Raw genomic sequence first — 19,965 nt, 5'->3', positions numbered from 1 at the left:
CTGGGAGGAAACTGCATTTCACCCCGTCAGGCCTTGCCCTTGGCCTCCGCAGCCCAGGACAAATACTTCAGGGCAGTTAAACAGCATTAAGGCTGGAGGAAGAGGACCCTGGGTGGCTCCGGTGAGGGGTGGCCCAGGTTGGGGTTGGAAGGAGGTTGTGCCTGTCCCAGGTGGAAGAACGAGGCACAACTAGTGAGGAGAGGCCTCTCATCTGCCTGCCCTGGACAAGTTCCACCCTGTGGCCCCGCGTCCTCCCCTGTCCTTTGAGGCTGCCCCAGGGCCATGGTTTAGAACAGCCGGTGCCCACGGGGAGCCCCACCCCACCCAGGCCTCTTGGCCCCACTGGGTTCTGACCTCCTCAGGAGGCTAAAGTGACTTGATGGGAGGCAGGAGAGCACAGGGGGAGCTCACTGCAAGTTGAGGTGCAGGGCCCAGGGCCACCCAGAGAGCAGCCACAGCCATGGCCCTGGGGATGGGGGGGGAAGGAGCGGGTATGCAGGGCCCTGCCCAGGTCAGCGGGAGTTGGGGGCGCAGAGGGCTTTCCCAGGGACACCGGGCTGTGGAGGGTGCAGTGAGAAATCTCAGGGCATGGGGCCCACCCTGCGCCCCCTCCTTGTTTCCTCTTGCTCCTGACTGTGCCCTCTTTTGGCCAAACCCTGGCAGGGGCCAGTGGACTTACAGCCTGGACCCTGAGGGTCAGCCCGCTGGACACAGCCAGAGAGGCTGAGGAGCCTCTGAGCAGAGCCCGGGGCGGCAGCCTCTCCATCCACCAAGGCCTGGCTTCTCAGGCTGCCCCAGTGCCCTCAGGTCCTGGTCCCGCCAGCCTCGGTCCCACCGTGGCCTAAGATGGGCCCAGGGGTGCTTGGGAGTGAGTCTCCCCTTGAAGGCAGAGCTGCTCCTCCTGCCTCACCCGCCGTGGGCTCCACCTTGGCCCAGCCGGAGGGACTCGGGGGCCCTGATGGAGGGGACTGGCCAGAACCGCTCAGAGCCCAGCGTCCCTGACTCTTCAGCACAGGCCCAGGTTCAGGAGCCGTTCCCAGAAGGGCGCCCTGGGTGCAGGTGTCAGAATATGGGGGGCAGGTGTGGGGAGGGGTTGAGAGGTAGGTTGGGGTCTCTGCCCACGTGAGGCTGGACCGAGCCCGCCCTGGCCTCCCTGGTTTTCTGTGGACTTTAGGGTCACCTCAGAGGTTTCCTCTGACAGCAGCTTCCAGTTCCTGACCCAGGAGGACCCCACACTGTCCCTGAGGCCACCTGGTCAGGGCCTTTCCTCATTGGCTGATGCCAGAGGGCTCCCACGGCTTAGGGTGGTCCCAGGATCTGCCACCTGCTGGCCTGGACACTGGGACCTCAGCACAAGCCTGGGCCTGGGAAGGGTGGGGACAGAGACCCCCAGCCGCAGCATCCCCCACAGGCGGAGTCAGCCCAGGGGTTAAGCAGAGGAAGGGAAGGGCAGAAGTGTGGGAGGAATGTTCCCCACAGTTTCGCACCTCCGGGACACGTGGCCACAGCGGGCCTGGAGCTGTCACCAGAAGACTGTGTTGTGGATCCAGCCCCCTGTGCCCTGACCCTGTGGGCGTGTTTGCCGCATGACATTGAGTGGTTCTGATGAGCACAGCCAGTCCCGAACTGCACTGCATCCAGCGTCAGCTTCCTGGAGGACGGTTCTGCTGACCCCATGCAGCTCTGGGCTTCCTCCTGTCAGCGCCAGCACAATTCCAGTGCCTGGGAGGGACAGCGGCACAGCCCACCCGACAGCAAGCCCCACCCATATGTCCGTGGTGAGGAGCGCTGGCTTGAGGTGACCGTGGGACTAAATAATTAAAGAAGACGCAGACGTCGGCCACCTGGAGGGCCCTGGGGTCTTTCCCGGCAGGAAGGCACAATTACAGCCCAGAGTCTCCCAGGCCGGCCCATCTCTTCTCAGGACCTGGATCTGCATCGCACCCCCGGGCAGGGCCACGGGGCCGGTAGACAGGCTCAGTGCTCCTGAAGTGAGCCCCTCATAAGCAGGGGGGAAGCCAGGCCTGGCAGAGCCGCACAGGTGCCCCTGCTCCATGACCCCAGAGAGCACCACAGGCTCCCAGGGAAATCGGCCACGCAGGCTTGGCGTTGGTGACCTGGGGAAACTCAGCCACTTTGAACATTAAGGGGGCTCCTGGGTGTGGCTTCCGCGGGCCCAGGGCGTCTTTGGCAGAGTGGAGAGGATTCTTTGAGCAGAGAATGTTCCCCTGACAACCCGATCGGGTGGGTTGAGCTTGGCCGAAAGAGCATCACTTGGGGACAGTGACCCACATGTGTTGGTTTGTTCTTTCATTCATTCATTCACTCACAAATTGTGTGTCACTGAGGCTACCGAGAGGAATCATGCACAGGTGACCTCGTGGGGGACTGAACACAAGTGTAGCCAGTTCAGATCAGGAATCCAAACCACGCAGGCCCCAACCCGCTCCCCTTCCACTCCTGTGTTCCCTGGGTAACCGCCCAAGGGGTCCACCTTGCCTGCTGCCTAGACAGAACCGATTTATCAAGACAGGGGAATTGCAGTGGAGACAGAGTAATTCACGCAGAGCCCGCTGTGCGGCAGACCAGAGTTCTATCATTACTCAAATCAGTCTCCCGAGCATTTGGGGAGCAGAGGTTTTAAAGATAGTTTGGTGGGTCGAGGCTTGGGAAGTGGGGAGTGCTGATTGGTCAGGTTGGAGATGCAATCAGGGGGTTGAAGTGAGATTTTCTTGCTGTCTTCTGTTCCTGGCTGCGATGGCAGCACTGATTGGGCCAGATTACCGGTCTGGGTGGTGGCAGCTGATCCATCCAGTGCAGGGCCTGCAAAACACCTGAAGCCCTGATGTTAGGTTTACAACAGTGATGTTATTCTCAGGAGCAGTTTGGGGAGGTTCAGACTCTTGGAGCCAGAAGCTGCATGACACCTAAACCGTAATTTCGAATCTTGTAGCTAATTTGTTAGTCCTGCAAAGGCAGACCGGTCCCCAGGCAAGAACGGGGCCTTTTCGGGAAAGGGCCTTTATCAATTTTGTTTCAGAGTCAAACCATGAACTGAATTCCTTCCCAAAGTGAGTTCAGCTTACACCCAGGAAAGAACAAGGACAGCTTAAAGGTTAGAAGCAAGATGGAGTCGGTTAGGTCTGATTTCTTTCATAGTCATAATTTCCTCAGTTATAATTTTAAGAGAACCTGGGACAGGTTCTTTAATGTCTCTGTTTCTTCCTCTATAAAATGAGGACAGCAGCCAGCTCACCTTCTGGGGGTGCTGGGCTGACTGAGTCCTGCGTGGAAGGTGTTTAGAGTGGGGCCTGGCCCAGGAGGCCCCTCAGCTCTCAGCGGCCCTCACTGCGGAGCTGTGAGGTGGATGGTAATTGATTTTCTGGTTCTGCTGATGTGAGACTCTGCACCTGCGAGGCAGAGGCTGCCCAGTGCTGTTCAGGGAGCCTGGGCTCTGACTGGCCATTCCATGATTCAGCAACTTTGGATTCTCACCATATCCACATGTGAGTTATAGGAATTCCAAGATATGCATTTTGCAAGACAAAATGAGAGAAATAGTTCAAATCGAATATGCCCAGTTAGATTTAACACATATGCCATTTATTATCTGCTGTTCATTTCAGTCTGTGTTCTGCTTCCTGAATATGTTTACATCTGTTCTGTATATATTTTGGAGAACCACTGAGCATTGTGTTTTGGGGTGATGTGTAAGGGCGATTTTGACCAAGCAGTTTGCCCTCTGTGCTAGCGTTAGGACAGAGTCCACATACGGTGTGTGGGTCTGCCCCATAAACAAGGGATCCGTTCCCATCTCAGGATGAACATAGAGGTGTGAAATGAGAATTCTGGCAGTGCCCTCCCTCTGCTTCCGGGCTCCAGAAAGCACTTAGGAGTCTGAGCTGGGGCCACCTGCAGGCTTGTCCACACTGGAGACAGCACAGCTCTGTGTCAGCTGCACAGGGGACACCATGCTGAGCCAAGGAAGCCAGTGCTCCTCTCCTGAGGAGGTGGGGCTGTGGGGAAAGCGGGGGCTGCAGGCCAAAAGCATCTGTGACATGGAGCACACAGCGGGTCAGGGTGTGGTCAAGTTATAGGGGTGGGGCCAAGATGGAGGGGCGTGGTCAAACTACAGGGGCGAGGTCAGGGTGGAGAGGCGTGGTCAAGGCATGGTCAAGTCATAGGGGTGGGGCCAGGATGGATGCACGGGGTCAAACCACAGGGGTGAGGTCAGGGTGGAGAGGCGTGGTCAAACCATAAGGGCAGGGCCAGGGTAGAGGTGAGGGATCAGAGAAGGAAATGGCTAGAAATAGGGGGTGGGGATAGGATGGACAGGGGTGGCCAAGCCATGGGTGTGGAGATAGGGGTGGGGCCAGGGTGAGGGGAGGAGCCAGACAGAAGGGTGGGGCCAGGGTGAAGGGCATGCTCTAACCATGGAGTGCTGTCAAGCACTGGGGGAAGCCAGGATGGAGGGGCAAGGTCAAACCACAGGGATGGGGCCAAGGTGGAGACGTGTGGTCGGGGTGTGGTCAGGCCATAGGGGCGGGGCCACATTGGAGGGGGCTGGGTCAGGCGTGGGCGGGGCCAGGCTGGAGGGGCAGAGCCAGGCAGGGGGTGTGGTCACACTGTCCTGTAACGGGAGGGAGGACACACACATCCTGACACCCAGCCTTTGAGGTCTCCACGGGTCTCACAGCCCGTACCTCACTGCGTCCATCTCTTCCCCCACTTCATGACTGGCCCTCAAGAGTCAGGAGTGAATGAACCCCACTGCACAGTGTGTGACACATCACATCTCATCTCTCTGCGCGTGGATTCCCTCAGGCTTCAGGCTTTATGGTGTATTTTCGTTCCTTCCCATTCCTCCTCCCATTCCCCTCCCTGCCGTTAGGAAATCACTGAGCCGTGTGTAATGACGATCTTTTTATTGGGACGTGTTCTTGGAGAGTGCCCATTGCTGTTTCCGGGCATGAACGTCAATGGTCTCATGTGATTAATTTCATTCTGTGTATTTGTAAACTTTTACAAATAATCATGTTTTAAAGATGCTCTCATATCGCTCCGTGTGCACCAGCTCATGCTGTCTCATTGCTGCATGGTTCTCCGTGTGCGCCCACCCCATTTTCCTCTCTGTTCTCCCAGGGACACCCACCCAGGTCCTGTGCCCCTCCCGGCCCCCACAGACAGGCTCAGAGGTCATCTGTGGGCCTCAGAGGTCATCTGTGGGCCTGGGTCAGCACCTCCCTGGGTGTCTACTTGAGGTGGGACCGCTGGGTCCAGGGCCCTCCGTCCACCCCCACCTGCAGGACATCCCTGCGTCCCTGCCCAGGCTGGGAGCCGCCAGCTTCCTAATCACCGCCAGGAGTGACAGGAGACAGCCTGGGTGTGGCATCTTGGCCTGTTGGGATTTCCTCTCCTGGGTGTTGCCTGCTCACATCGCTCTGTCCATTCTTTGGGATTTCTCCTTGTTTCCTTGTTGATTTACAAAGTTACATTGTATATTTGACACACTGATCACGTTCCAGTTTTAAACTTTGCAAATCTCTTTTCCCATTTTGCCAGTCGTCTAATGATTTTGTTCATGGTCTTCTTCATTAAGCAGGCATCCTTTGTTTTGATGTGACAAAACTAATCATTTTTCTATGGTTTATGCTTTCCAAATGTGTTTAAAAAATTGTTCCCAGGCACAAGTTCCCAAAGACTCTATATGTTTTCATATTTTCTCTCTTTTCATATTCAGGTTTTTAATCCATCTAGACTCCATCTTTGTTTGCAGTATTGGTTAGCGATTCAGTCTTACTTTCCTCCACACAGACAACCCGTTTTCCCAGTACCGGTTTTACACAGCCCATCTTCTATCAACGGTTTGTGGAGCCGGTTTCATCACAGTTTTAATAAATATCATGTGAACATGTTACTTAGCTTGGTTGGTATTCCTGAAATGTTCTATTTTCTGTGGACTGTGCTCCTTGGGTAAAATAAACCCAAACCACACAGAATAATGAAAATGTCATGATCATCAACAGCCAAATGCCTCCTGCTTTTCCTCCAGTTGCGGTGCTGGTTAAGAGCAGAGCTTTGGAGCCTATCAGGCCTGGTCCCCGGAAGCAGATCCTGGGATGAGGACTTGGGAACAGGTGACGCGTGAAGGGAGGGCCGGGAGGGAGCGGGGAGAGGCACAGGGTCAGGATAAGCGAAGCTTTGAGCGCCAGGTCTCCTGACTGCAATGGCTTCCTTGTGGTCCTGCAGGGGCGCCCTGGAGCGTGAACCCAGCCTCAGCCGCCCTGTTGGAGGTTCCCACACCCCCGTCACTGGTCAAAGCCTCGCTAGGTGGGGAGGATGAGACAGGGCGAGCTGCTGAGTGTGGGACAACTCACTCCCAGGGGCAGCAGCAGCACAGCCCCTGCCAGGTTCCTGGGATGTGAATAATTTCACCATGACTGATGTTCAGCCTGTGTCATACCTGGTTTATATAATTCCTGAAAACTGTAAACACCAAAATCATATCCCACAAGCTGGGAGGAGGCAGCTTCAGCATGGCTGGCCCCCAGGCCACTTCGGCTCACTGCAGTGGGGCTGGTCGGGCTCAGTGGCCTAAGGACAGTTGTTTAAAGAGGAGTGTCAGGAGCCAGCCCTGGAGAGAGAAGAACACAGAAGCCCAAGAGGGGGTCCTGGGAATGGTGAGGGCCAGAGGATCTGAGTGGAGCCCCCCTGGTGTCCAGGCCCTTGGGGTCTGGATCCGTCTCCTCCCCAACTAGGGCAGGTCCTAGAAGGTTATCAGGGAGCTGGGGCTGTCCCACAGCAGCTTGTGGGAGCCGACTCTCACATTTTCAGGGGTTTTATGAGCCAGTTGTTAAACTGCTAGCACTTGAAATTGGATGTGCTGGGAATATTTGTGCCTGGGAACCTGGCAATCTCCACAAATCAGGGTGATTTATGTTTCTGGAGAGCTGGCTGTTAAATGTCGCCAGCACACTGATTACCTCTCAGTGCACCCCAGCCTCCTCTCTGTCAAATGGGAATGGGACTGTACCTCACCCAGGTCCCTGGGAGTATTAAGTGATATGATAACATTAAGCCCTGAGTTCAAGGCCAAAAAGCTGTGTGACAGTCCCATCAGCCTGCCATGGCTGTGAGATGCACTGGCCCTGCCCTTCCCCCTGTCAGGAGAGGAGTCCAAGCTCACAGAGACCCTCCTCGGTGCCAGGATCAAATCCAGACTTTTCTGGACCTGTGGCAAGAAGGCAAATCAGCGTCCTCAGGGCAGGGCTGTGAGGAAAGCAGGTGTCCCTGGAGCTCATGCCCCCACTGCCGTGGTGGGGTGGGGAGGGAGGCCTGTGCCCCATGGAGAGGCCAAGGCAAAAGGGCCCCTCTTTCTAGAGCTGGCATCGGGGTCTGAGGACAAGAGCAGAGCGAACTGAGCGACCCAGCTCTGGCCTCTACCTGGTAGCACCTGGCCTCCCTGCAGCCCCACCTGCAGTGGTCATCCTTGCTGGAGGAACAGAGAACAGCCTGCCCTGCAGACCACCCAGACCCTGGGCTGTGAGGAGACCCGACCCAGGGAGCAGGAGCACTGGTTAGGCCTCTTCTTGAAGGGGAACCCACCTCACAGGCACCCAGGGTGCAAAGTGCCTGTCCAAACACCACTGATCCTTCCCAGGGAGATGGGAAGGGCTGTCCCAAATCATTCCAGGTGGAGCTGCAGGTTAGTAAATGAATGTACCTGATGCCAGGCAGATTTGAATTTCAGATAAACAGGAATGATTGCTGCTCTAAGCATGAACCCCGCACCCCTGGGGAGTGCTTGTAGCAGATGGGGCTGCTCCATCAGGAGGAGGAGGGGCCTGTGGGTGGGGAGGCCCCCACTGGGCCTGCCCTCCCCTCTTCCCCATCTTTCCCTGGATGCAGACCATCCTGGATGGGCGGGCCACATGGTCACAGGAAACACTAGGATGAAAACGTTTCTGATAATCTGTTAAAAGCTTATCCTGTGCACTAATTTCCCTAGAAGATTCTCCGTGGGTGGGAAACAAGGTGTAGCCTGTAGCTTAGGGGTGAGGACAGCAGAGAAACAGCTCTTTTCAACACTGATGTGCCCCGGGCATGTTTAGCCTGGGAGAGGCAGCCCAAGGAGAGGAAACAGGTGGAGGGGGAGAAAGCCCAGGGACTCTGGAGACAGCAGGGGGAGCAGGTGAGGGCGGGGGGCCGGGCTGGCTGCAGCTGTGAGCAGCTTTCCTGAGCCGGGAGGGGAGAGGTGGCGGGAGGTGCTCAGACCTGTCCTGCCTTCCTATCTGTGCCCAGATGTCTTACGCATAATATGTAAGGACATTGAACACATTGATGTGTCACATATTTAATTCTTGGACAGAAAACATTTTTGTAAAATTTGTTATTTTGCTTTTCAGTATCCATTTCCCATCCTGTTGCTAAATGAACCCCAGTGTTCTTTTGGGTAGTCACTCGTACCCCACCTCAGTCCCTGTGGTTTAGGAGGAACCCAGCCCCTCCATTCCCCGAGTCCAGGTCTGACCCATCAGAACCAGTAAGTGACACGGAGCTTTCTCTTAACATTGGAATCCTGTTGCAAAATGTCAGAATCTGTGCTTGGAAGCATCAATGAAGAACACATTTTGCATTATTTTAAATGGGAAAAATTATAATGTATGATCTTAAAATCTCCAATCAATCCCTTAATACAGCCAAAGCCCAGTAAAATGCTTATGTATCGATATGGTTTGGCTGAGTCCCCACCCAAATCTCATCTTGAATTGTAGCTCCCATAATTCCCATGTGTTGTGGGAGGGACCTGGTGGGAAGTAATTGAATCATGGAGGCAGACATTTCCCATGCCGTTCTCGTGATAGTGAGTAAGTCTCATGAGATCTAATGGTTTTATAAATGGGAGTTCCCCTGCACAAGGCCTCTTGCTTGCTGCCATGTAAGATGCAACTTTGCTCCTCCTTTGCCATTCACCATGATTGTGAGGCCTCCCCAGCCATGCGGAACTGTGAGTCCATTAAACCTCTTTCCTTTATAAATTACCCAGTCTTGGGTATGTCTTTATTAGCAGCAGGAAAACCGACTAATACATGTATGAAGGTCCAAATATTGTGTTAGGGTGCACAGTACTGACAGAATTCCTTTTTGATCAGCAAATAAATGATCAACAAGATTGGCAGCCAACTGTCGCCTGTTTGCAAATGGAGCCCTCCACCCGACCACCAGCGCAGGTCAGCATGCGCTGACCTTGGCAAGGGGCCTAGGTCCCTTGGCCCCTACTGGCACCTGGTGCACTTTTCAACACAGTTTTCAACACACGTGATTACGACAAGCATATGTTTGATGTCACTTAGTTTCTACACGTAGCTTTGTTGGATGTATTATATTAAGATTTGTTAATGGGAATTGGATTCACTCTTATGTAATCATTGGCCATTTTTTCAAAGAGAGTTCTGCACAGCTATGAATTTTGGCTATTAGAGCCAAGAGGTGATTCGCTGCAATCCCAGCCAATCCCCGCAAGGCATTCTGCAGGCGATGCCACCTGAGTCTAACGTTCAATCCCAGCCAATCCCAGCAAGGCATTCTGCAGGTGATGCCACCTGAGTCTAACGTTCAATCCCGGCCAATCCCAGCAAGGCATTCTGCAGGCGATGCCACCTGAGTCTAACGTTCAATCCCGGCCAATCCCAGCAAGGCATTCTGCAGGCGATGCCACCTGAGTCTAACGTTCAATCCCAGCCAATCCCAGCAAAGCATTCTGCAGGCGATGCCACCTGAGTCTAACGTTCAATCCCGGCCAATCCCCTCAAGGCATTCTGCAGGCGATGCCACCTGAGTCTAACGTTCAATCCCAGCCAATCCCCGCAAGGCATTCTGCAGGCGATGCCACCTGAGTCTAACGTTCAATCCCAGCCAGTCCCAGCAAGGCATTCTGCAGGTGATGCCACCTGAGTCTAACGTTCAATCCCGGCCAATCCCAGCAAGGCATTCTGCAGGTGATGCCACCTGAGTCTAACGTTCAATCCCGGCCAATCCCAGCAAGGCATTCTGCAGGCGATGCCACCTGAGTCTAAAGTTCATATGGAAAGGCGAAAGTCCTCGGACAGCCAACACCATGAGGAAGAAAAAAGAACAGAGTTGGAGAACCCACATACCTGACTTCAAGCCCTGCCGTAATACCACAGTGATCCAGAAAGCATGGTTTTGTCACCAACACAGTCATTCCCCCAGAACAGAGGGTCTTTCGCTGTGGGGTGTCACGAAGCCAATACATGAAACCGAAAGTGAGTGTCCGCAGTGCAGGCTTCATTCCGTGGCCCTGGCATTGAGAAGTGGGAGTGCGGCTCACAAATCCACTCAGCCTGGGAGGGGTGGGGAGGCTGACACACACTGACTGTCTCATGAAAGGGTTGGACACACCAAGCAAGGGGAGGAATATTCATGTCTTTTCCGGGAGCGGGCAGTGAGCTTCCTGGAACCGGAGCGCGACCTTCCTTCCTCCAGTCATCGTCATGGTGATTTCCAACCATCATGGCACTGTGGGCGTGTCACTGAGCATGGAAATGAGATGATAATAAGGCTGAAGGTCTTTTTGAAGTTTCTCGGTCAGCTATCTTGGTTTCAACCAGTCTCAGCTGGTCTGGTTAGAAAGGGAACTTTTTATCCTGGGAGTCCTGTTTCCTAAAGATAAGCAGAGTTAGCGCAGGGTAGAAATTCAGCTATGTTCCATAGGCATTCATCCCAGGTAACAGTATCAATGAAAGAACAGATAAATGGATGACTGGGACGAAACGGGGAGCCCAGGAATAGACCCACAAAAGCCCAGCCAGCTGATCTGTGACGGGGAAAGCTGACTCTGGTGTGGCCTTTCCCTGGTGGCTGGTGTCCAGGAGCAAGGACACAGGGGATGCTGGGTCACAGGGGAGAGGACACAGAGAAAGCCAGGGACACAGGGGACAGGATGCGGGGGATGCCGGGACACAGGGGAGAGGATGCAGGGGACACAGGGGATGCCGGGACACAGGGGAGAGGACGCGGGGGATGCCGGGACACAGGGGAGAGGACGCGGGGGATGCCGGGACACAGGGGAGAGGACGCGGGGGATGCCGGGACACAGGGGAGAGGACGCGGGGGATGCCGGGACACAGGGGAGAGGACGCGGGGGATGCCGGGACACAGGGGAGAGGACGCGGGGGATGCCGGGACACAGGGGAGAGGACGCGGGGGATGCCGGGACACAGGGGAGAGGACGCGGGGGATGCCGGGACACAGGGGAGAGGACGCGGGGGATGCCGGGACACAGGGGAGAGGACGCGGGGGATGCCGGGACACAGGGGAGAGGATGCGGGGGACACAGGGGATGCCCGGACACAGGGGAGAGGACGCGGGGGATGCCGGGACACAGGGGAGAGGACGCGGGGGATGCCGGGACACAGGGGAGAGGACGCGGGGGATGCCGGGACACAGGGGAGAGGACGCGGGGGATGCCGGGACACAGGGGAGAGGACGCGGGGGATGCCGGGACACAGGGGAGAGGACGCGGGGGATGCCGGGACACAGGGGAGAGGACGCGGGGGATGCCGGGACACAGGGGAGAGGACGCGGGGGATGCCGGGACACAGGGGAGAGGACGCGGGGGATGCCGGGACACAGGGGAGAGGACGCGGGGGATGCCGGGACACAGGGGAGAGGACGCGGGGGATGCCGGGACACAGGGGAGAGGACGCGGGGGATGCCGGGACACAGGGGAGAGGACGCGGGGGATGCCGGGACACAGGGGAGAGGACGCGGGGGATGCCGGGACACAGGGGAGAGGACGCGGGGGATGCCGGGACACAGGGGAGAGGATGCGGGGGACACAGGGGATGCCCGGACACAGGGGAGAGGACGCGGGGGATGCCGGGACACAGGGGAGAGGACGCGGGGGATGCCGGGACACAGGGGAGAGGATGCGGGGGATGCCGGGACACAGGGGAGAGGACGCGGGGGATGCCGGGACACAGGGGAGAGGACGCGGGGGATGCCGGGACACAGGGGAGAGGACGCGGGGGATGCCGGGACACAGGGGAGAGGACGCGGGGGATGCTGGGACACAGGGGAGAGGACGCGGGGGATGCCGGGACACAGGGGAGAGGATGCGGGGGACACAGGGCAGAGGATGCGGGGGACACAGGGCAGACGATGCCGGGACACAGGGGAGGTGATGCAGGGGACACATGCGGGGGATGCCGGGACACAGGGCAGAGGATGCGGGGGATGCCGGGACACAGGGCAGAGGATGCGGGGGATGCCGGGACACAGGGGAGAGGACGCAGGGGACGCAGGGGATGCCCGGACACAGAGGAGAGGACGCGGGGGATGCTGGGACATGGGGGAGGGGACCCAGGGGATGTTGGGGGGTACTACAGGGTAGAGTTGGGCCAGAAAACGTCTTCCATAAAGACCCAGATGGGAAATACCTTAATCTTCAAGGGCCATGGGGGCTCTCCCACAGCTACTGAAACCTGCTATTGTGTGAAAGCCGCCAGGCAGCGCAGAGACCAATGAGCCGTGACAGGCTCCCACCGGCCTTCCCCACAGAGGACGAAACTGGGCAATGAGAGCCCACAGATACCTCCTGCTCCCTTCCTCCTCTTCCTCCTACTTCCCTCCTCCTCCTCTTCCTCTTCTTCCTTCAGTTCCTTCTCCTCCTCTCTTCCTCCTCCTCCCCCCCTTCCTCCCCAACTCCTCCTCCTCATTCTCTTCCTCCTCCTTTTTGCCCTTCTCCTCCTCCTCCTCCTGTCCCTGGTGGGTGAGCCATCAGCAGTGACCAGCCACACACTGAGTCTGGGGGGAGCCACATGGATTCTGGTTTTCCCTCTGCCTTAGCCTCGCTGTGTGGCCCTGGGTGAGTCCTGTCCCTTCTCTGGGCCTCAGTTTCCCCACTTGTAAAATGAGGAAATTGGACTCATTCTTGGCTTCCCAGACTCCAGTCTTCACTTCCTACCTTCCATGTTCCATACACATTACTTATTCCATGTTTTTCTTTAAATCATCTCACTTTCAACTCCACTAAATTCCTCTAAAGATGAAACATCATTTCACTACCATAAGCAGAAAATCGTTCTCCCTTACCATAAACAGAAGGTGGCTTGAACGTGAAATGAAGGCAAAATGATGTTATTCACAACTAGCTAAGGCCTCATCTGCCCAAAGCTCTGAGTCTGATGCCCATTCACAGGGGTTGAAAAATCAAACACCATCAGGGGCCAGGAAGTGACCTGCATGCCGGATGGGGTTTTATTTGCATATTATATTCTTCAGGTGTACAGGCTCACTCAACCCTCGTAAGAGCCAGAAAAGGGGCCGGATGCAGTGGCTCACCCCTGTAATCCCAGCACTTTGGGAGGCCGAGGTGGGTGGATTGCTTGAGCCCAGGAGTTTGAGACCAGCCTGGGCAACATAGTGAGGCCCCATCTCTATTAAAATTGTTTTTAAAAAAGAGCCAGAAGTGGCAGGTGCTGTTCTCATCCCCACTCACAGACGAGGAACCTGAGGGTCTGAGACACAGGAAGCTGCTCGATCCTCCAGCCAGGATGAGGCTGAGGGAGAGCCCAGGCCAACTGGCTCTCAGAGTTTGGACTTTCAACCACGAATTTTCCACAACTGTGCGGAAATGTTCGTCCAGGGGTTCTGGAAACACTCAGTCCCCATGGTCTATCTTCTGTTTTCCTATTTTTGGTAAGCATAAAAACAAAACAAAACAAAACAAAAGCTCTTCCCTTTCCCTGTTGGTCCATTCTGAGGAAGCGTCACCCAATTGGTGACAAACAGCAAGTGGCATCAGCCCCAACGTGGGAGCGATAGGGCGTGGTGGGGACTGTGGCGCAGAGAGGGTGCAGTCCCAAGGGGAGCAGCGGCTTCACCCACAGATGCTGCAGCAAGGAGAGCCCCGTGCCAGCTGCCCAGGCTGTTGGATCCGTTCAGGGATCCGGCTTGCACGTGGGCCCACGAAGGGGGTCTGCACGCAGGCAGGGTCTCTGTTCCCCGAGCATCTATCCCCAGCACCCACAGCAGTGCCCAGCTCAGCTAGGGTACGGTAAATGATGTGTGAACTGGTGAATTCATGGAAATCTCCCACTTTTTACCTATTGGGGATTAATTCCATATTTTAAGTCTGGGCCGGCAGTGCCACGTGGTCCTCCAGGTGTGTCCTCTGTCAGGTGCTAGAGGACACCCCAAGGTCAGCAGGGGCTTCTGCTGGGTCTCTGAGCCATTATTCTCTCGCCTGCCTCACGTGAACACAGGTTTCCTGGGTGGAGTTTAGTTGAGAGATCGCAGTCATTCGCAGGAGGAAACCTGCTGCTCCCTCAGGGGCGCAGTGAGTTTCAGGCATTAGGACGGAGCCAACACCCACACTTCCTAAAGCCCTGAACATAAATTTCTCTCGACTCCCTTTTATTGGGAATTAGCAAATCAAACGCTGTATTTTTCAGTGTCTCAAATCTCCCTTCCTTCCAGCTGAGCCCAAGGAGAGTGAAGGGCAGAGGGTGGCACAAGGTAGAGATTTGAGAAGTTTAATTAAAGCCTCAGGTTCAGGCGTGGGGTGATCCTGATCCATCACCAAGTTGTGGCTGCTCCCACTTCATGAAGAGACAGCCCAGCCCTGAGGATCAGAGCCATCTCTCAGATGGAGGAGAAGTCAACGCCTGACAGCCTTCGCTCATTTGACAGATGCTTCCCCTGAATTCTCCTCTTGGTAATAAAGTGGTCTCCATGGTAACTGTTGAGGTCTTGATGATGGATTAGACGGGCTGTTTTTAATCATCCTGAAAACAATGCTGGCAGTCACATAAAATCCTTCTAGAACCTTCCAGCTCAGCCCAGCCACCAGCAAGATGCAACTGAGGAAGGGAACCCAGGCAACGCCACAGCAGAAGAGCCACCCGGCTGGGCCCTGCCAGAGATCCTGACCACAGAATTGTCAGAAATAATAAATTATTGATTTTGTTTGAAGTGACAGCATTTTTGGGTGGTTTGTTAAGCAGTGAGACACAAGTGAGGACAGGTGGCACAGACCGGGCATAGCTGGGACTTTAGTCAGCCAGGAGGAGCTGCCCCGCACAGCTGTCCACCAGTCTAGGACCCAGGCCACACCACCCTGCACCTGGTTACCTGCAGCTCATGTTAGTGCTGCCTGGCTGTGTGTGTACCCTCTTTCTCATTAGGTGCTTTAGTGCCCTCCTGGAATGTCAGGATTTAATTTCCATTCAGCTTTAATGAGTCCTCCTGATCGTGTGCTCACACACTGAAATTAATTTCTCCAGCCTGGCTTTGGCGATTTTCATCCTTAATTCCTCTGTGTCCCCAGGGCACCTCCAGGCATGTTGTCTTAATTCATCTTCTGTGATTCAACAAAGGGATTGTCCCAGCGTGGGGCACCCGCATGCCACGCACGTCTCACCGCAGCCACACCTGGGCCAGGTAGGATTAGTTCAGAGCTGCTTTTGAGGGGCTGTTGTCATGGACACCAAGGGGCAGGTCCATTTCTGGTCACAGACGTGCATCCAGCTTCTGTCTGCAGCCAAATGGAAGCAGCTGCATTTGCTGAAGCCACAGGGGCCTGTGGTCGCCGGTCCTGGGTCATTTTGCCTGCCTGGCATTTGTTCCCTCTCCTTCCAGTAACAAGCCCTGATGGGCTCTGCGCAGCCACACCGTCCCCCTCAGCTGTCACAGCCCCGTTGGAATTGCTTTCTCCTGGGCCAAGCATTTCACAGAGGCTGCACCACTCAGCCCCTCCTAGTCCGCTGGAGAAAGTGGCTGAGGGGGTGGTGGGGGATAATTGCATTTCCAAAGTCCGGGCAATCAGCCAATGTAAACAGGCACCTGCATCACTGTGTGGGCTCTCTAGGCAACAGGTAAAATACATCAAATACACACAATTTCCTGACATTCCAATGCATTTCTGCGTGAGCTGGGATGGGGGAGGCCGCTGTTCCTCTGGGCTGTTTCTCCTCTCAGCTCTGAGCCGAGCAGCAGGTGGGCTCCTGAATCCCCATCTCCAGGCTCAGGGCTGCTGGCCACCTGCCTGACAGCCCCTTTCTCACCCGAGCCAGGGGCTCTCTGCCCTGCTCTGCAGAAACCTCCCTGGCCTGGCCACCTGCCTGACAGCCCCTTTCTCACCCGAGCCAGGGGCTCTCTGCCCTGCTCTGCAGAAACCTCCCTGGCCTGGCCACCTGCCTGACAGCCCCTTTCTTTTTGTGTTTTCTTTTTTTTTTTTTTTTTTTTGAGATGGACTTTCACTCTTGTTGCCTAGGCTGGGGTGCAATGGCGTGATCTCGACTCACTGCAACTTTTGCCTCCCAGGTTCAAGCGATTCTTCTCCCTCAGCCTCCAGAGTAGCTGGGATTATAGGCATACACCACCACACCCGGCTAATTTTGTATTTTTAGTAGAGATGGGGGTTTCTCCATGTTGGTCAGGCTGGTCGCGAACTCCCAACCTCAGGTGATCCACCTGTCTTGGCTTCCCAAAGTGCTGGGATTACAGGTGTAAGCCACTGCGCCTGGCCTGACAGCCCCTTTCTCACCGGAGCCAGGCGCTCTCTGCCCTGCTCTGCAGAAACCTCCCTGTCCTGGCCAGCAGCCTCAGAGGCCTCAGAAAATGTCCTGGCTGCAGGTGAAAGAAGACGAGGGTGCAGCTTCCCCAGCGTGCTCTGAGCTCAACCCACCAGACACAACCCCTTCTCACGGTCATACGGGCCCCCGGGCTCCCCTGTGGGAAAGGCCAGTGGAAATGGCAGCATGGACGGAGGCATCCGTGGCCCTGTGATGCATGGCTGTGTCAATGGCTGATCTGAGAATTCACCCGGTCCTCAGTGCCCCATCCCTGCCGCCCCATCCTGCTGCTCTTCTCCTTCTCTCTCACAAACTTCTGCCCCTCTGGGCTCCTCACTGAGGACCACCAGGACTGTTCCTAACACCGATGCTGGCCGGAATGTCTGGGCATCCCTCCCACATGGTCTGTGCCTAGACAGGGATGGGCGCTGGTGTGAGGCCCACTGGAGGGGAGACCAAGGGTGGGTAGCTCACCCAGGTGCTGAGGGAATCCAGGCAGAGCACAGTGTCCTTTGCTGCAGGGTCTGAGGGTTCTCTGCCCATAGAGCCGCTGTGGCTATGCCGTGTTACACCTCCAGAAGATGTGCCTTGTTATGCCCTAGGCACTTATAAAGAAAGGAATTCTCTTGGGAGGCTGAGGCGGGTGGATTGCTTTAGGTCAGGAGTTCAAGATCAGCCTGGCCAGCCTGGCCAACATAGTGAAACCCTGTCTCTACTAAAAATACGAAAAATTAGCTGGGCATGGGGGTGTGTTGGTGGGTGCCCGTAATCCCAGCTACTCAGGAGGCTGAGGCAGGAGAATCACTTGAACCTGGGAGGTGGAGGTTTCAGTGAGCCAAGATCATGCCATTGCACTCCAGCCTGTCAAGAGGAAGACTCTGTCTCAAAAAAAAAAAAAAAAAAGGAATTCTGTGTCCACAATGTATTGCTGTGCTTTAAAAGTTTGAATTTATAGTGGAAAAGCAGCAAGAACACATGAGCTTCAAGGACAGCCCTGGAGATAGGTCTGATGATTGCACTTGGTCCACCAAAGCTTCCCATGAGAACAATAGGTTGCTTCTGCTGACACCCCCAGCCCCCAGCTCATCTCTCAGGAGGCTGAGGGGTCCCAGGTCCACAGTGTGCCCCAGGGCTCACCCTCTAGCAGGAGTCCTGCCTTCCTCAGTGAGAAATTCTCACCACGCAAGTAGGGTGTAGGGCACTATATGACACAAACCTAATGGGAGCTGATGAAAAGCAAAATGATTTCATCTGCATCTCTCAAGTTCTTAGCAAGCTTCCACTGGGCTCTGAGTTCCAGGCCTGTTTTGCATACACTCAGCGTCTGTTAGGCATTGGATTTAAATTACGACTTTTGAGGATTCTGAACGGTAACAGGCATCCATACCCTGTCTATGTGTATTCCTCAGCCTTATTGCTGCATCAGCTCCACCAAAGCTCATTTCTTGAGAAATGTCAAAATGCAACCTCCCCTTCAGTTTACTTTTTAACCCTCTTTTAACTATGTTTTCTAGACTGGAATTTCCTTTTTCAAGAAAGGTTGACATACAAAGACATGTCACCTTGACAGTGTTCTTTATCTTTGTCAAAATGGAAGGGCTTCCAGCACTTGTGTTGTAAAAAAGAAAAAGGAAACAAAACTGAAGGACATTTTCTTTCTCTTCCTTCTATTTCAGTCTACTGTAGGTCAAAAATTATTTACACATTTTTGGTTCTCCCATGTTGTTTGTGTACATTGTCAATGAAAAGAGCCAAACTCTGTAAAATATTTGAAGAGATTTATTCTGAGCCAAATATAAGTGAGCAATGTCCTGTGACACAGCCCTCAGGAGATCCTGAGAAAATGTGCCTAAGGTGGTTGGGCCACAACTTGTTTTTGTATATTTTAGGGAGACACAAGACATCAATGAATACACATAAGATGTACATTGGTTTGGTCCACAAAGGTGGGACAACTGGAAGTGGGGACTTCCAAGTCATGGGTGGATTCAAAGGTTTTCTGATTGGCAATTGGCTGAAAGAGTTATCATTGATAGACAGGAATATCCAGGCTAAGATAAAGGGTTGTGGAGAGGGAAGTTTTATTGTGCAGATGAAGCCTCCAGTTAGCAGGCTTTAGAGAGAATGGACTATAAATATATTTTTTTCTCTTTTTATTTTTATCACACTGAGTCTGTTCCAGTAGTTCCAGAAGGGAGGAGGGTATCATGAGGCATGCCTGGCTCCCCCTTCCCATCATGGCCTGAACTAGGTTTTCAGGTTAACTTTGGAATACCCTTGGCTGAGAGGAAGAGTCCATCCAGATAGTTGGTGAGGCCTTAGAATTTTATTTTTGGTTTACAATATGTACTTCAGGCTTCCTGGATGGTCCTTTTAAATAACCTTGTACTTCCCTGAGGGGGATGATCATGTTGTAGTTAGCATTGTGATACAGGTGCTAGAAAGAAATTGTTTAGGCAGTTAGTGAGGAGAAGAGAGTCCTTGGCAAGGTTTCCCTTTTAACAAAAAGCAGCCCCCAAATCATTTCTTTTCTAACAAAGAGCAGCCTGAAAAATCAAGCTGCAGACATAGAAAAGCAAGCTAGAAGCTTGCACTGGGGAATGCCAGCAGCTGGGCCAAAACGAAAAGCCTACCTGTGAGCCAGACATGTTCAACATGGAGGCTCCATCTTCCCTTTTCTTTGTCAACCACGTGTACAGTAAAGAAGCAGGCAACAAGCCACCATCCAGATAGAGATGCCATCTGCATAATAAAAGATTAGGGTGGGACGGCCAGCTTCTTCACGTGTTATGCAAATGGCCCACCTGGTCTGACCAATCTCTCGCCCCCTATGCAAATCAGACACTGCCTCCTCAAGCTTATCTGTAAAACCCCATGCATTTCACCACAGGACCAGAAGACCCACTTGGGAGCCCCTCTCTCTCTGCAGGACAGAGAGCTTTTCTCTTTCTTTCACCTATTAAACCTCCACTGTTAACCTCACTCTTTGTGTGTCCACGTTCTTGATTTCCTTGGCATGAGGCAACGAACCTTGGGTATTACCCCAGACGAATGACGCCACTTCCATTGCAGAGCCTGGAGTCAGATAGCTCAGGTATGGTCCTGTCTCTACCCTCACTGGGTGTGGCCTTGATGCAGTCATTTTGTCTCCCTTAGCTTTGGTTTTCACATCTACATTATAGGAAAAATCACACGAAGTAGATGGAATAAGTCAGAAAATACACAGAGTTTAGCCTGGCACATAGCAAGCACTCAATGAATGTCATTATGGTCATTATTATAATTGCTAAACTTTTCCCTTTATGCTAATTTGTTCCCTCAGGGTACATTGCTCTCCAAGAACATTTGTATAGTGGCTCCTGGTTAT

General features: G+C 54.3%; 1 protein-coding gene across 1 annotated transcript, besides 4 other annotated features; it reads right to left on the bottom strand.

The window, feature by feature from the left end:
- Nucleotides 39-88: an enhancer, noted in NCBI's record as "active region_7361". NCBI's record gives its function as "activates an Ori minimal core promoter by ATAC-STARR-seq in GM12878 lymphoblastoid cells {active_cell/tissue: GM12878}" and the evidence as "EXISTENCE:reporter gene assay evidence [ECO:0000049][PMID:35858748]".
- Nucleotides 3,527-4,026: an enhancer, noted in NCBI's record as "H3K4me1 hESC enhancer chr12:131925817-131926316 (GRCh37/hg19 assembly coordinates)". NCBI's record gives its function as "activates a minimal SCP1, AML or CMV promoter by ChIP-STARR-seq in primed H9 embryonic stem cells {active_cell/tissue: H9 hESC(primed)}" and the evidence as "EXISTENCE:reporter gene assay evidence [ECO:0000049][PMID:30033119]".
- Nucleotides 4,911-16,798, bottom strand: LOC124903090 (vegetative cell wall protein gp1-like). Its single transcript, XM_047429977.1, has 2 exons — nucleotides 16,732-16,798; nucleotides 4,911-12,404 (listed from the first exon to the last, which is right to left on the bottom strand). The coding sequence occupies exons 1-2, from the start codon at nucleotides 16,796-16,798 to the stop codon at nucleotides 10,918-10,920; spliced, it is 1,554 nt and encodes a 517-aa protein (XP_047285933.1). The 3' UTR covers nucleotides 4,911-10,917.
- Nucleotides 11,613-12,326: an enhancer, noted in NCBI's record as "H3K4me1 hESC enhancer chr12:131917517-131918230 (GRCh37/hg19 assembly coordinates)". NCBI's record gives its function as "activates a minimal SCP1, AML or CMV promoter by ChIP-STARR-seq in naive H9 embryonic stem cells {active_cell/tissue: H9 hESC(naive)}" and the evidence as "EXISTENCE:reporter gene assay evidence [ECO:0000049][PMID:30033119]".
- Nucleotides 15,097-15,620: an enhancer, noted in NCBI's record as "H3K4me1 hESC enhancer chr12:131914223-131914746 (GRCh37/hg19 assembly coordinates)". NCBI's record gives its function as "activates a minimal SCP1, AML or CMV promoter by ChIP-STARR-seq in naive H9 embryonic stem cells {active_cell/tissue: H9 hESC(naive)}" and the evidence as "EXISTENCE:reporter gene assay evidence [ECO:0000049][PMID:30033119]".
- Nucleotides 16,799-19,965: the final 3,167 nt, after the last annotated feature.

This window comes from Homo sapiens, chromosome 12 (genome assembly GCF_000001405.40).
Source record: "Homo sapiens chromosome 12, GRCh38.p14 Primary Assembly".
NCBI classification, from domain to species: domain Eukaryota; kingdom Metazoa; phylum Chordata; class Mammalia; order Primates; family Hominidae; genus Homo; species Homo sapiens.
The sequence above is the reverse complement of the archived record's forward strand: the minus strand, read 5'-3'. Positions and strand labels throughout refer to the sequence as shown.